The 16,345-nt window shown below is 34.5% G+C and overlaps 1 protein-coding gene across 64 annotated transcripts in view; it reads right to left on the bottom strand.

The window, feature by feature from the left end:
* INPP4B (inositol polyphosphate-4-phosphatase type II B) overlaps nucleotides 1-16,345 on the bottom strand; it is an 823,376-nt gene that overhangs the window by 135,736 nt on the left and 671,295 nt on the right. For 55 of the 64 annotated variants that reach the window (NR_169615.1, NR_169599.1, NR_169623.1 and 52 more), the window contains 2 exons: nucleotides 14,737-14,914; nucleotides 1,463-1,666 (listed from right to left, as the gene is read on the bottom strand). Coding sequence is in view for 54 of the 64 variants with exons in the window: in NM_003866.3 (NP_003857.2) it covers nucleotides 1,463-1,666; nucleotides 14,737-14,914 (382 nt within the window). In the remaining 10 variants the exon portion in view is untranslated. Of the gene's footprint in view, nucleotides 1-1,462; nucleotides 1,667-1,812; nucleotides 2,034-14,736; nucleotides 14,915-16,345 lie in introns of those variants that run through there. The other 9 variants (NR_169617.1, XM_047416362.1, XM_047416361.1 and 6 more) reach the window with 2 other exon arrangements.

The raw sequence follows: 16,345 nt of genomic DNA on the forward strand, positions 1-16,345 counted from the left end.
GTCAAAAGGTCAACACTGGATGTTTATTAAATAAAATATATCTTCTTTTCTGTATACACTCGAACTCTTCAAAATTCACAATCCACATTGTATGACATATCTAATTTCCCCACTTATCTCAAGGGATAGTATTAATCTTCTTAATAAGATTATATAATTTATATTACTTAAGAAACATATAACAATAATACTAAAGTAATATAATGCATTTGCCTTGGCATTTCCAGGAAATGGAGCATTGTAACATGGTAAATCATTGATTTCATGACCACTCTAAGAGCTAACAGAACACGTGCTGTTATTTTCATTTTACAGTTGAGAAAATTGAACTTCAGAGGTTAAGAGGTGTGTACACTTGGAACTGTGAAAAAAAAAAAGTGAAGAAGGTGAAGGTAAAAGGGAGAAAGAAATATTAGATTTGCTCTTTGAAAATGCTTCATTGGGAGAAATGCAATTTTAATCACCAACGACAAACACTCAGCATTTACCTCTTGGAGCCCACCTCTGTCATTTTTGTGATAGAAATTTTACCAAAAGAAAAAGCAGGCATCACCTCACAGCCTTTCAGATAACATTTTTTTTTTTGAGAGGCCTGTGCCTTTCAAGTAATTTACTCCCCATTCTTAAATTCTAGGGTGGCAAGAAAAGTAATTGTTAACTAAAAGCTTAACATCTAATACAGCTAGCACACTATTTTTTTTGTTAAACATATGATACAGTAATAGATTTCCCTTTGTGTGTGTGTGTAATATGCATATACTTTGGAGAATTCTTGAATAATTTATATGTATCGATTCAGTAATAACACCCTGTTCCTCTGCCATGGTACACCTTCACGTTTCTCCCATCATATTCGGCCCAACTAGAATTTCTCTCACCATATTTATTTCCTTTGTTTATTCATGTTTCCTAGCTATTTTTTCGTATCATTTTATGAGGCCATTCTTCTGTAAACTTTAGAGCACCTAGAGCAGCATCTTACATTATAGAACCTTGAGCGAGAGGGATTTGCGAGATATCTATGTCTATTGTCGTTTAAATGTGAATACTTTTAAAAAGTACTTCCAGAACCAAAACACTGGATTGCAACAATGAAAATACTTGTTGCATCTAAGTAGTAGTAACATGGAGGGTTTTTTATTCTTTTTCTAAAAAATAACTTTCATGTTTTATATAGTTTGGCAATAAATAAGGAAACATAAGAGTCTTGTAACTGTGGCATCTTTACTTGGATGACAGATTCTCACTTAAACATATAATTCATTGGCTAGCAAATAAATTTTATCAGGATTTCAACTTCCAAAAAAAAATTGCCCCTAAGGAAAAATGTGGCCTATTTATCCACAATCAGTGTTATAACTTTTTTTCCATTTTTTAAAATGGAAAGCAGAGCTATCTGATCATTCCTACCTTATTTCTCATTGCCAAACATTGAGAGGCAAGCGATATACAAGAGACTTACCCACTCTTCCTCATCATAGTCTGAATGATGTGGTATGGAGTCCTGCCCTCTCATCACTGGGGGTTGGTCTTGGGGACTGCTCTCCTCTGTGCTGCTCTTAGGAGAGGGTGGCTTCTTAAGAATGCCTCCTGGCCTTGCAGTGTAGAGTGCTAAAAGAGCACTCCTGACAAGTTGATCCTTGAAGGCATGTACAAAAAGCTCTGTCTGGAAAGAAATTGACAAGGATTAGAAACACCTTGGTAGGCATCTCAGCATAGAGCTGTGAAAAGGTCAATTGCAGATTTGTTGGTACTTAAGTGGTGTGTATGGTGGAAAAAGTACAGACGCCAAGGAGAGAAAATGATTCATACCAATCAATGGAAAATAGTTTGGTTCTGGGATGCTGCCAAGGCCTTAAGTCCTCCTGTTTTAAAGTTAATGCTGAGGTTTTAAATGCACTATAAACACCGTCTGTCTCCTCAACCTTCTCCCTTTTAGTTTCACAAATCCTGTCTTTGGAGATGAATTTCAGTGGGCTTAATCATTTGAACAACATCTACCTGCTGCAGCTTTCAAGTCATTCCAAACACTCCTGAAAAGAAAATGTAATCAGTCTATGTGTATTTTATTAAAACCGCAATTACTTTTGCACCAGCCTAATATGTTTTAAACAGTTAAAGACTAAAGAAAGACATACATCCTTAAAGGAGAAGATTTTTTTTTTAGTGTCATAAACAGATCTCAACAATAGTAGAAATGGCATAGGCAGACTTCTTCATGAAAACATCGGGCCTGTTTTCCTTATTATCACCTCCTAAATGCTCTGTTCCACTAAATTGTTTCAGTAATGCTTAATGTTAATGAGGTTACTGTGAAACTTGGCATGTAGATTTTACAAGCTGGTGGCAAATACCTAGTACGTACTATAGCAATGAAGGCTTCCCAACAATAAAGAACTTTACAGCTGTACTTTGCAATTTCCTGATGAAATGTTTAACAGTTTCACCCTGTAATAGACTGAAGGGTGCAGTAATTACTTCACTTAGCATGCATGTGGCCTAACGATCTGTTCAAAGAGTAGAGATGTAAGTCAAGTAATGGCCCATATTGTTAACATATTCATACTCTGTAATCTCTTAGGAAGGGACCCTTTAACTCATAGCATTATATTGAATAATAATTGATATTGCCACCATTTAATGAGACACTCTTGATAATGCTGGCTTCACCATTGATATAACTCAACATCATTATTTCTTGGTGCACTCTCAATATGCGGTCAACAGTTCCAAGCCTAACTAGTAGTCACTAAATTATTTAGAGTAGACTCTAAATCTTCTCGTTGACAGCATCAGCAACTAAAGAAAACCAGTTAAGCCCCATGCAAAACAGGTGCCCAGTAAGATTTTGTTATATATGCATAGTTACTCATTTGCCATAGATCATAAAATTTTAGAGGTGAAAGGGATCTTAAAGTTGACCTCTTCATTAATCAAGATGAGAAAACTAAGAAAGAAGTGTGGTGATATGTTTTAGGGAATACTGCGTATTGGCAGCACAAATGGAACAGGAATGAAGTTTTCCAACAAATTAGCAGCTTTCTCCCTTATTCCACACTACTCACCACCCGCCATAAAACTAGATGTTTCTGTCCTTCTTCCTCTTCTTCCCTAACCTCAACTTTCCAAGTGTTTTGAACATCTACCAGTTTTCATAATTAAGTGTGCCTATAATGCCTGTGTAACTACTTTACTGCTAAATTTTGTTGAATATTTTAAACATCCTGTTATTAGTCACATTGAAGCCACTTTGAAGGTGAGAAAACAAAACATGAAAAACATAATTTATAAGAATAAAAGATTGAAAAATATTTCAGAATAAATCAGAAAAACAAAATAAAAAGCAGTTTATACTAGATAGGCAAAAAAAAGAAGTGTTCACTGATGTTCACAATGAAGTATTAAAATGAGAATGAAAGATATAAAAAAACTGATGGAAAAATTGGCTAGACAGTACTCAAACAAGTCAGTGTAGTCATAGCAAAATGAGGAAACATGTTATTTACATAATTTTTTATATAGCATGGATGTGCTTATCAGTGTGACTTTAAATATTAAAAGCATGAATTTACTCCCATTCAGCTTAACTAAACAATTTCTCTGTTGATGGTTTCAATAAATTCTTTTGATTTATTTTTTGAGCCAAACAACTTGCCTTCTTTGAATTCCTGCTACTACATTTCAAGTCTCCACAATACTCATATAATTGCCATGTAGCTAAATATTCATTCACACTCAATGAAATCTTCTCTAGCACTTGTAATCACTATCAATTTCTTTCCCTCACATGCACATGCAGAGATTCCACTTCATTTATTCAAATCTCATTTGAGTTGATTTACCACCAAAGGCAAGGGAGATCATGCAGGAGAGTCCTGCAGTTTTAAAACCCAAAATTTTTTTTGGATAACTGAATACAAGGCTTACAATCTTAAACATAATAATAGCTAATCTTTCACTTTGTGTCTGTACTGACAAAATTTATCTGACTTCTTGGAAACTCTCTGGATCACCAGTATCCTGTGTAGAGAATCACATTTTTTAGAAAATACCCAAATGTCCCATTGTGATATCCATGTAACCTGAAAAAAATTTAATTTTTTTTGACCAGCACTACTTAGTGATGTAGACCAGTGTAGACCATTGATGTTTCGCAGTCAAATAAATCAGCTTGAAAAGATTAATGTAGTCACTAAATCCCAACACAGCTGTATACAGTAGTCCCTCTTAATCTGTGCTTTTGCTTTCCCATGGTTTCAGTTACCTGTGGTCAACCTTGGTCTGAAAATATTAAGTGAAAAAAAAGAAGAAAGAAAAAATAGAAAATTCCAGAAATAAATAATTCATAAATTTTAAGTTGTGCAGCTGTTCTGAGTCAAGTGATGAAATTTTGTGCCATCCTGCCTCAGATTGTCTGGGATATAAATCGCCCAGTGTATCCGTGCTGTATATGCTACTAGCCCACTAGTCACTTAGGTGCCATCTGGGTCACCAGATCGACTGTCAGGTTATTGCAGTGCTCATGTTCAAGTAGCCTTGATGTGGAAGCCTAACACTACATCATTCCCCTCACTTTATCTAATCACGTAGACATTGTACCATCTAACATCATCACAAGAAGACACGTGAGTACAGTACAAGAAGATATTTTGAGAGAGACCACATTTACATAACTTTCATTATAGTATATTGTTATAATTGTTTTGATTATTAGCTCATGTTAGTCTCTTACTGTGCCTAATTTTAAATTAAATTGTATCATAGCTATGCATGTGTAGGAAAAAAACAGTATATACAGGGCTTGGTACTATCAGGGGTTTCAGGCATCCCCTGGGCGTCTTGGAACATATCCTCGTGGATAAGGGGGAACTATTGTATTGCTGTTCTTGCAACTGGGACGATACTAGGAAAGTTGAAGTCATGGAAAGGATGTGACCATATCACTGAGTTGCCTACTGACTGTTCTAAAAAACCTTTTTCTTTTCTCATTTAGCGTGAACTACATTAAATGAAAAAAGAAAGTCTATCTAAATGTTATCATAAGAGTAGGGCAAACAATTTATTTAAAATATCAGCTTAATAATATCGTGTAAAAAGAATAAACTCTGAACGTAAGGCAGATCTATTTTATTTTTTCATATTAGAAAATGAAAGAGAAATGTTACCTTAAAAAAACGAAATGTTTTCTAGCCTTCTGACATTTTTCCAATTCATATCCCCATACAACTATTCTTCAAAGCAACACACAGAATTATCTGCAAGTATAAAACTACTAAAAATTACTTCTCCTGGGGATGAATGAAGAGAATTTCTAGTTTTCTGAATATTAATGGCAGAGGAATAGTTAGGACATGTTCATTTAAAACTACTCTTTTTCACTAGAGATCTCAACAAAGTAAATAAAGTTCTATTCTACCTAGAAATCTCCTTATTCTCGCTGAAAAAACATTTAAGGCAATGCCTAATTCCACCTGTAATACAGAAGCAGCCAATGGCATATGCAAGTGATTATTATTTTAGTAATCATCTATGCAGCAAGAATCCTGTTTATTTTGATATTTGGTATTTTGAAATTACTTGATATAGGAATAGTGCTACACTCTGTCATTAGGGCACTGATGTATTTTCAACATTCCCTAAAGGAAAGCATGTTAGACTAACAGCTAGGAGGTTACTTAACATTTGGGCAGCTCATATATATTATCCATTTGCCCTTGGAAAAACCACATAATCATTTTTCCTAGTTTGCATAAAATTACAGTGCCTACCTCTCAAACTCCTATGGGAGTTCATTGTAAACCCTCAAGTGCACTCTTTCATGGTCTTTTTATTTATTATTTTATCTTACTTTTATTTTTAATTTTTATTTTTATTGTAGAAACAGGGTCTCACTATGTTGCCTGAGACCTTAAGGCAGGTCTCAAACTCCTGGCCTTAAGTAATCTTCCTGTCTCAGCTTCCCAAAGTGCTAGGATTAAAAACGTGAGCTACTGTGCCCATCCTAATGCTTCTCTTTCTTGATTGGCCTTTTCAATTTCTTTTCTTGACTCATCATTCTCTGTTCACCCAAAATGTGGTAAGTCAGCCCACAAGGGACCTTAAATCACTTTCTCAAAAGCATTTTTTTCATTGGTGAGGTAATCCATTTTCCCATAGTTCAACTGTCATCTTTACGCCAAGGTCTAATAAATCCATCTCTATCCATCTCCTGAACCAGCTCTATCAACTGTTTTCATTGCAAAGCCCTTAGAGTTCAGAAATGCCAGGCTGAACTCAAGATTTTGTTGTTGTTCTTTAATTTTTAGTAATTTTGTCCTTTCAAGATTTTCCATTTGAGTAGTATCATTAGTACTCAGAGTCCAAACCTCTGAATTATCCTCACTAACGCCTATTTTCTGGATTAGTCAGCAATTTATTCTACTTATACCTTTACAATAATTTCAAAACTCGATCCTTACATTTCCACAGCTAGTCCCACTTAAGATCCTTTCTACATTCCATAGGGATACTTTCCACAGTCTCTTTATTTGTTGGTTCACTTTAACTTGTCTTTCCTTTACAATGTTATCAAAGGCCACCAATGTTAAAATATACACTTCTGAGTTCCAACCTTGAACTACAATACAAATACAAATATAAATGAGAATTTGTATTTTTAGTAAAGTCCCCCAGAAGCATTACTTTTATTTTGTGATACCCAGTAATGTTCAATAATTCAAATCCAGTATCTTAACTCAGCCTATGTATTGTTATAAAGATGACCTTCATAAAATATGTATCTAATCCTTCCTCATTCAACAGCCTTCTCAGTGCCAACAGAATAACATTTCTCTTGAATCAATAACTAGGTGTTAGATGACCAAATTATACGGTGTTTTTCAAGCTATGAAACATTGCTGAAACATTCACATTTCCAAAGTGTGCAAATAATTGTGTACATAACAGTGATGCATGAAAGTTGCAGGTCCATATCCTCCTCCACTCTTTTTATCCTCGGCCTTTTTGATTTTAGCTGTTCTGGTAGGTGGCTAAGGGCATCTCATGATAGTTTGAATTTGCATTTTTCTAATGGTAAATGATGCTGGGCAACTTTGCATGTGTTTATTTACCATTCATAAGTCTTCTTTGGTGAAGTATATTTTTAATTCTTTTGCCCATTTTTAATTGAGCTGTTTGTTGTATTAAGTTCTAAGAATGCATTATTATTCTGATACAAATCCTTTAACATATGCATATTTTATAAATATTTTCTCCCAATTCATGACTTCTTATAGAAGTTTGCCTGCTTTTGTTCTTTTACACTGTACATTAAGGTTTATGATCAATTTTGAGTTAAATTTTATATATGTATGAGGTAAAGTTAACTGTTCTTTTGCTCATGGATATCCAATTGTTTCTGCAAAATATGTTGAAAATATACTGTTTTCCTCTGGCTAGCCATATGCAGAAAATTGAAACTGGACACCTTCCTTACACCTTTTACAAAAACTAACTCAAGATAGATTAAAGATTTAAATGTAAAACCCAAAACTATAAAAACCCTAAAAGAAAATCTAAGCAATACCATTCAGGACATAGGCATGGGCAAATATTTTATGATGAAATCACCAAAAGCAACTGCAACAAAAGCAAAAGCTAACAAATGGGATCTAATTATACTAAAGAGCTTCTGAACAACGAAAGGAACTATCAACAGAGTAAACAGACCACCTACAGAGTAAGAGAAAATTTTTGCAGTCTATCCATCTGACAAAGGTCTAATATCCAGAATCTACAAGGAACTTAAACAAATTTACAAGAAAAAAAAAACAACCACATTAAAAGTGGGAAAAGTACATGAACAGATTCTTCTCAAAAGAGACATTTATGTGGCCAATAAACAGATAACAAAAAAGCTCAACATCACTGATCATTAGAGAAATGCAAGTCAAAACCACAATGAGATACTGTCTCATGCCAGTCAGAATGGTGAGTACTAAAAAGTCAAGAAACAACAGATGCAGGTGAGGCTGTGGAGAAATAGGAACACTTTTATACCGTTGGAGGGAATGTAAATTAGTTCAACCATTATGGAAGACAGTAGCGTGGCAATTACTCAAAGACCTAGAACCAGAAATACCATCTGACCCAGCGATCTCATTACTGGGTATCTACCCAAAGGAATATAAATCATTCTATAATAAAGATACATGCTCATGTATGTTCATTGCAGCACTATTCACAATAGCAAAGACATGGAATCAACCCAAATGCCCATCAATGATAGACTGGATAAAGAAAATGTAGTACATACACACCATGGAATACTACACAGTTATAAAAAGGAACAAGATCATGTCCTTTGCAGGGACATGGATGGAGCTGGAAGCCATTATCCTCAGCAAACACACACAGAAACAGAAAACCAAACACTACATGTTCTCACTTATAAGTGGGAGTTGAACAATGAGAACACATGGACACAGGGAGGGGAAAAACACATACTGGGGACTTTGGGAAGATGGTATGGTAGGGAGGGAGAGTATCAGGATAAATAGCTAATGCATGCAGTGTTTAATACCTAGGTGATGGGTTGATAGATGCTGCAAACCACCCTGGCACACATTTACCTATGTAACAAACCTGCACGTACTGCACATGTATCCTGGAACCTAACATTAAATTTTTAAAAAAGATATTGTTTTCCTAATGAATTTCTGCTGTGCTTTTGTCTAGTTATTTGAACATACATGTGTTGGTTTATTTCTAGATTCTCTATTCTAGTCCACTGAACTTTATGCCTTTGCTACACTAGTATGTTACAAAGGACGTAATACATTGGTATTATTTTTATTTGGAAGAGTAAATATATATAAGAAACATGTTTGAATTAATAAAAAAATCTATTCACATATTTACCATTTTTGGCATTGCCTATTCTTTTGTGTACATTCAAATATCTCCTGGTATCATTTCCTTCTTCCTGAAGACTTTCCTTTATGATTTGTTGTAGTACAAATCTGTTATGAAATTTCTCAGCTTTTGTTTGCCTGAACTCGTCTCCATTTCACCTTTATTTTTGAGAGTTAGCAGGATTTTTTTTTTTTCAGTAGCTTGAGGATGTGACTTTATTTTCTTCTGGCTTGCCTAAAGCCTAATAAGAAGTCTGCTATCATTCTTGTTGGTGAACGTCAGAGAAACATGTGTCCTTTTTTTCTTTTATTTCTTGGTTGTTTTCACAATGTTCTATCTCTGTTTTTCAGCAACTTGATTATGATGTACTTGAGTTTATTTTTCTATATTTATTCTGTGTGGAGTATATTGAGCTTCTTGGGTCTGTAGTTTCATTAAATTTTGAAAAACTGACCATGATTTCTGCCAATATTTTTATGCTTCCCTCTCTCCCTTTTTTGTCATTTCTGTTTATATTCCTTGATTTTTCTTCTGGTCACGGATCATATTTTCCTGCTTCATGGCATGCTTAGTATGTGCTTGTTGGATGGCAGGCATTTTGACTTTACATTCTTGGCTGTCAGATTTTATTGCATTCCTTTAAATAATGTTGGATTTTTCTATGGCAAAGTAAAATTACTCAGAATCAGTGGGATCCTTTCAAGCCTTGTTTTCAAACCTTGTTAGGGTAGACTAAGAGCAGCCTCTAATCTAAGACTAATTTAGTCCCGCTACTAGGGCCATACACTTCTGAGGACTTTATTCAATTCCCGTTGTATTAAAAAGTCTTACCACTTTACTGGTGGAAAGATAAACTATTCCCGGGCCTGTGTGACCACCAGGAATTGTTTTTAAGCTTATTCCTAATATTTATTTCTGTGGACATGGGTAGCTTATTCGCATGCATACACAGATTGGTACTCATAAAGAGTTAAAGGCACTCATTTACAGATCTCCAGGGTTCCTTCTGTGTGAAGCTCCTTCCTCTCTGGTACTCTGCTCTGTGAATTCTAGCAATCTTGGCCTCCCAAACTCTAATCTCTGTCTCTTCACCTTGAGAAGATAATGTTTAGGTTCCTTTTTGCTACAGCCTAGGAACTGCCCTAGGAAGAAATCTAGATAGTTATAAGGATCACATAATTTGTTACCTATTTTCCAGTGCTTAAAAACCATTATGTCTACATTTTGTCCACTTTCTTGTTGTTTAAGGTGGGAGGGTCCATGTTAATCCATCATAAACAGCAGAAGTTCTGATTCCATAAATTTTATATATAGTCTCATTGTCAATGTTATCTTACATTCTTATCTTTATTTTTCTTATTGTACAATTTTCTAATAACAAATTTTGTTTATTGTATACTATCTCTTATTTCACCAATTAAATAATTACCATTTAAAGGCAATTATGAAAAACAGCAACATAATTTCTGTCCTGAAATTTCATTTTTATCTAAACCATTTATTCTCAAGTTTTCTTAGACTTCTAATACATACTTTTGCCAATCTTAAAAAAACAAACAAAATTTCTACTCATTAAGTTCTTTCCCACAGTTTGGGACTGAGATAGACCCAGGAGTGGTTACAGTGAATAAACAATAAAAAAATTATTCTCAGTTTTAAGTAATCAACATAACATTCTTCTCTCTATTATGTGTATCTTCAACTTCTTAGCACACTAGCTGCCTGGCATTGCTATTATAGAAAACAACATTGCTTGAAAACATCCTGATTGTATATGTTTCAGAATACAATAGTTTTTATTTTTCTTTGAATATAAGAGAACATTTTGGTATAGTATATTGAGGTTGAAAGAACAGTAGGAATTATAAGCTATGAGAATTTCTCAAATACGCTGTGAGTATAGCCTCTAACATTTACAATAAAAGCCATTATTTAACTATTTAACAAATGCAATATTATAAAACACCCCATTCTTTTAAATTCTTAGGTTGTAAAAATTAAGGGCCATATCTATGTAGTATTTGTCATATAGCATCAAGTACGATACCACACATAATTAAGTGCTCAATAGTGCTTTTTGATGAGCAGGATAATAATGACTTATTAAACAAGGTCTATCAATCTCAATGGAATGGAGAAAGTGATGGGTGTTTGAACGCTAATAGATTTCTGAGCTATGAGAGATACGTGAACACTGTCCACATTCAGGCCTTTAAAAACATTATTTATTTTAGTTTGAATTTATTTTATCTATTCCTTGTTTTTTTTCCTTCATAGAATTGCATACTTTTAGTCTGAGAAAAAAGGAAATGCATTTTTATCTCACTCTATTATTAACTGTTCATACTGTATGTTAAAATTTTGGTCTATCTTTTGCCTTTTTTGTTGGAATTATTCAGAAAAACTCAGCTTGGCTTTTGTTAGATTCTTACACCATAAGATTATACTATTCTTTAATATTTTCATGAACTAATATGCAACAACCAAACCCAATTATCCATAAGAAGGCATAACAAGAATGTTAAAATTATGATACAATTTAATTGAGTTTGTGCATATTAGAACATGAAACATTAAAAATATTGATTTTTGTGAAATTTTAATAGTACTCCTTCCCTGCCCCCACATTTGTTTCCGTAGTCCTATGTACAAGCATCCATATAGCAATCTGAAGACACAGTATACTGGTCAGGCTCACAGAATCTGGAGCCAAAAACACAACGTGTGTGATTGTGAGTAAATTTAATATTTCTCTGCCTCAGTTTCCTCAACTGTGTAAACTAAGGCTACTCACAATACTTACTTCATAGAATTAGGAAGACTACATGTTAAAATAATATTATCCACCTCATGGAACTCTGAAAATTGAAGCACTTATAAGAGTATCTCAGAGTTATTAAGCCACCAATAAATGCTAGCTATTACTGTCACTTCAACATCGTAATAACCACTACTATCGAGTTTTGGAATTCCTGGGAAGAACAGGCCTGTGTTTTATTCCATTTTTCTACCTTTTCTGTTGAGCACAGTGACTGTCAAATAGTATGAATTCAGGAATTATTTTTAGTTTATAAATTGTATGTGTTTGTCTCTACCAACAGTGTTTATTTAGATGGATGGAATTTTGGTTGGGGAGCTCTATCCATGTGCCTTGGTTCTCAGTAGCAGTAGAGATGATGTAAATTGCCTTTGGATCTACAAATATTGCCTACTCAAAGACTCCTGGAATATGCCCTCTCAGCAAGTTGAATTTTTCTGTTGCCACTTGCTTTTCCCCCAGACTATATGTTTAATTGATAATGATTTCATGGCTATTGTCTTCAGGTGCAATGGCTTACCTAAGAGGAGAGATGCCACCTCATTACAAAATAGAATACCTCCTTCTTCACTGCCCTGGGCTGCCCTCAGTCTTCCCCAGGGGCCCCAAGTCTACAACAGTAAACTCTTCCATGTTCAGGTGCTCAAAGGCTATAAAACCTTCACATTTCCCTGATAAGCATGAATATAGATAACTCCTTAATGTCTTGAATATGCTATATGGATTAGTCCCTAAGAAAACAACACTAGGTACCTATTTTCCAAACACGCAAGTTCAGAATCAGTAAAGGAAACCAGGGGACTCTCCATGAAGTAAACGTTTTTATTTTATAATCCATAGTATACAACAAGCCCAAAACTTAAAAACAGAACTTTTAAAGCTTACATCCCACTAATATTCAATTATATTTAAATTTAGAATACCACTAAAACTCTCTCTCTTTCATACCTGAATTCATGGATCATACTTTGTTCTAAACCATGAGATACTAACAGTGCTCATAGACTATACAAAACTGTTAACTTAGATAATTCTTTGAAATTCCAGTCATGAATTCTTAAAAGAATGCATGGCTTGCAAACTTAACTTAAAAAAAGATCCTCCTAGTTTTAAGGACTGAGAGATTTATTAGTCGACTAAGCTTGTCTACTCAGTAGAAAAGAGAAAACATAGGGGAAAAAGTTGGAGCAATGCTGGATTCAAGGAGCAGAAAATGCCCATCCTAACCTCCTCCCACCACCAAAATCACTGCAGCAAGTTGTAAATGATGTATGAAATGACAAATCCCTGCCCAGTGCACAAGAAGAATATAAATACTGCTCTGTAATCACTGCAGTGGTGTGCTATTCGCTAAAATTTTCAGCTTAGGTGAACCCAGAAAAACCTCACCTCATCTATAAATCCAAAAAAGAAATGAACCGAAATGAAATTATATTATTTTACTGTATGCAACAACCTCCTCTTTTTTCTTTTTCCCTAGTCAGAAAAACATACTTATTGAATATCAAAATACTTAGGTATTACTAAGGCATTTGTCTAACAAACATTTTTAAAAAAAAACTTTTAAATAAGGAAATGTCAAAATCCATATATTAGACGGAGGGCGCTAAAAAGAACTTCCATTCTGGAGTCATCCAGATCTGGGTTTGAACCCAGGTTTTGTTTGAATCCTGTATTTGACTCTAGCTGCATGACTTTTCACATTTTTAAAATTTCTCTGAGCTTTAGCCTTTTTCTGTGTGAAATGAAGATAATATGTTCTCCATAATTCTGATGATTAAATAAAATGACATAAAGTGTGAAGCCCCTTGCCCTATTTGACGCAAAGTAAGTACTTGCAAAATTTGGGTCAATATTTTCCTCCCTTTTCACGACAGAGGCATGTGTTCTGGCCTGGAAGGAATGCTGCATTTTGAACTGGAAGTTCTGAGTTTGGCTTTTCACTTTTTAATTTATTAGACAATTCACTCGAACTTTCTGAATAGATATTAACTATTTTTTCATGAAAATAGGTATGTTTTCTCCTATGAGAATAACATATAAAAATGTATAAACTGCAATGTTAAATAAGCATAAGATATTATTATAAATTAACATACCTGAATAAAAAGTATGGACATACATAAGATCCAGGTTTCTATGAATCTGTTCTTCAGAGAGGTGGAAAACTACACTTTTGTCTTACTCTACAATTACGAGAATTTTCTTTGATCAGTTTCTCCAACGGCATATTTACTGAAAGTTTCTCATAAAAAATTACATGATCTCCTTAAAATGCACAGGTGAAGGATGCACACATTGAAAGTGGACACTGGTTTTACATTGAAAATCAACTGTCACTTGTCTTTTTCTATCTCAGCTTTCTATCACACAGCGAGCCGCCCTCGTTAGTTCTGGAAGTTGATATTGAGTGTCTACCCCATGCCAGACTAGCTCTCCTTTCTGCAGATAAAGGAACAAGTCACCTTTGGAAAAACTAAGGCTTAGATTATACTGCTTTTCAAATAACTGACACATTTGGAAATTTTTGGAACCTCTCCTCGGTAAATAAAGTTGTAGAGAGCAAACTGAGGCAGAGGAAGTACCCCACACAGACTGATGTAAATCCACATCAAAGTTCTGCCTTCAAATGAAGTGGCATTCCTATTCAAATGTAAAGCTTTATATGCATAAAAATTAGGTGATCACCAGAGGAAAATAAAGTAATTTTCAAAATCTAATTTAATTCACTTAATAAGACCATAAACCAAAGAAAATGAAAGATGCCAAGGAAAAGAGAAGATATATACCAACCAATAACAGGTTTCATTTCCTACTAAGAAAAAAAAAAAAAGAGTGCTCAGTAAGATTTGAACAGAGAATGAGGCCAATTCATTTTGATCCTGTGGCAATACTTTGAAGCTTACTTTTTAACCTACTCTATTTTACATTTCCAGATGCTATGAATGGCGATGTATGCAGAAAGCCAGACCAATGGGAATTTGAGTATTTCATTTTCCCAACTATAGTGATGATTTGGATCTTACTTTTTCTGAAAGCATCTTTAAAGAATTCTTCAAGCTGTCTGGAGAATGCTGGCTTGCAGAATTAAGCAGTAGGTCTGCATGGGTTGCTATAAGAGGTTGTAGTTGATTGATGTTGCTGAGAACTTCCTTTGCTTTGGCTGTGTTTTCAGGTGAATAGTAAATAAACTGGTATCCGGTACTGCAACAACAAAGATAAAAATAAGTTACACAAACAGCATAATGAATGTTCAGCCCTTAATATCAGATGGCAAATGATAAACAGAACTCCAAGTATCACTCTTTCCTATTGATAAGAACTGTCCTAAGAGATTTTTAATGATGCACTAGCAATTTTTATGTAAGGTGACGAAAATGCTTTTTAAAACTAGGTAATCTTGTTTTGCTAAAACACTGGGAAGATTAACACTAATACTTGACGTGATTACATATATGTCAAGTATATGTAATGGCTCATGCATGCACATATATGTAATCATGTATGTCAAGTATTAGTATTCAAAACAAATTAGTATTACTATTAATTCCTAATGAACTTGAGGCCACATAAGCCAGTGGGAAAAGATTCAAGCCAATCTCAATGTAAATCCTGGTTTGTCACTAACTAGCTTGGTGACTTTGGGCAGCCTTCTTCCTCATCAGGAAAGTGGGAATAATCATCTAAACCATTCTATGAGGTGTGTAACGTTAGTAGTCATTCATATAAAGTGCCTAAAATTGTGCTTGGCACAGAAATAGCATTCAATACCTACTACCTAACATTTCCCCCCATGTTACTAGGTGAGGGGTGTGGAGGAAGTAAATTTTAATAGCTGAGAAATGAGGAGAAAATTAATTAATGTCAAGTGGGCACATGGACAAATTTATTGGACAGAAAAAGGACATTAGTAGCAGAATGCTATTTCATAGTGTTATTTTATCACGACACTTTTTCTTCTTATGGTTTTCCATTTAACATACAAAGAAATCTAAAATTGATTATTAACTAAAGAATTATTGACTTCTTTTTTTTAAGAGACAGGATCTCACTCTGTCACCCAGGCTGTAGTACAGTGGCACAATCAGAGTCCACTGCATCATCTAACTCTTTGTCGGCAATGATCCTCCCGCCTCAGCCTCTTGAGTAGCTGGGACTACAGGTACAAGCCATCACACCTGATTAAATTAAAAAAAAATTTTTTCATAGAGACTAGGTCTTACTATGCTTGCACAGACTGGTCTTGAATGCCTAGCCTCGAGCCATCCTCCCCTCTTAGCCTCCCAAAGTGCTGGGATTACAGGCTTGAGGATTATTGACTTTTATAATCATCATCTAGGAACTAATCAAGCACATTATGGGAGCAGGGATTCTTTAGAGTGAAGGAATCTTTGATCCATTTCATCAGGAAGAGGCATTCCAGCAGGAAAGCTGCAAAACAGCAAAACAGTTGCCAGAAGGAAAGAAGAGGGAAGTAATGGCTCATGCATGCACAAGATTCATGTAAACTTGCTTACATCCCATTATACCCAAATGTCAAGACATTTTTTCAAAAAACTTTGCAGTCGATGTTATTTACTGAATATGTCTACTACATTTTTATCAGCTCAATTATTTAAATTCCATAATTTTATT

The sequence above is a fragment of the Homo sapiens genome, chromosome 4 (assembly GCF_000001405.40).
Source record: "Homo sapiens chromosome 4, GRCh38.p14 Primary Assembly".
In the NCBI taxonomy this organism is placed as follows: Eukaryota; Metazoa; Chordata; class Mammalia; order Primates; family Hominidae; genus Homo; species Homo sapiens.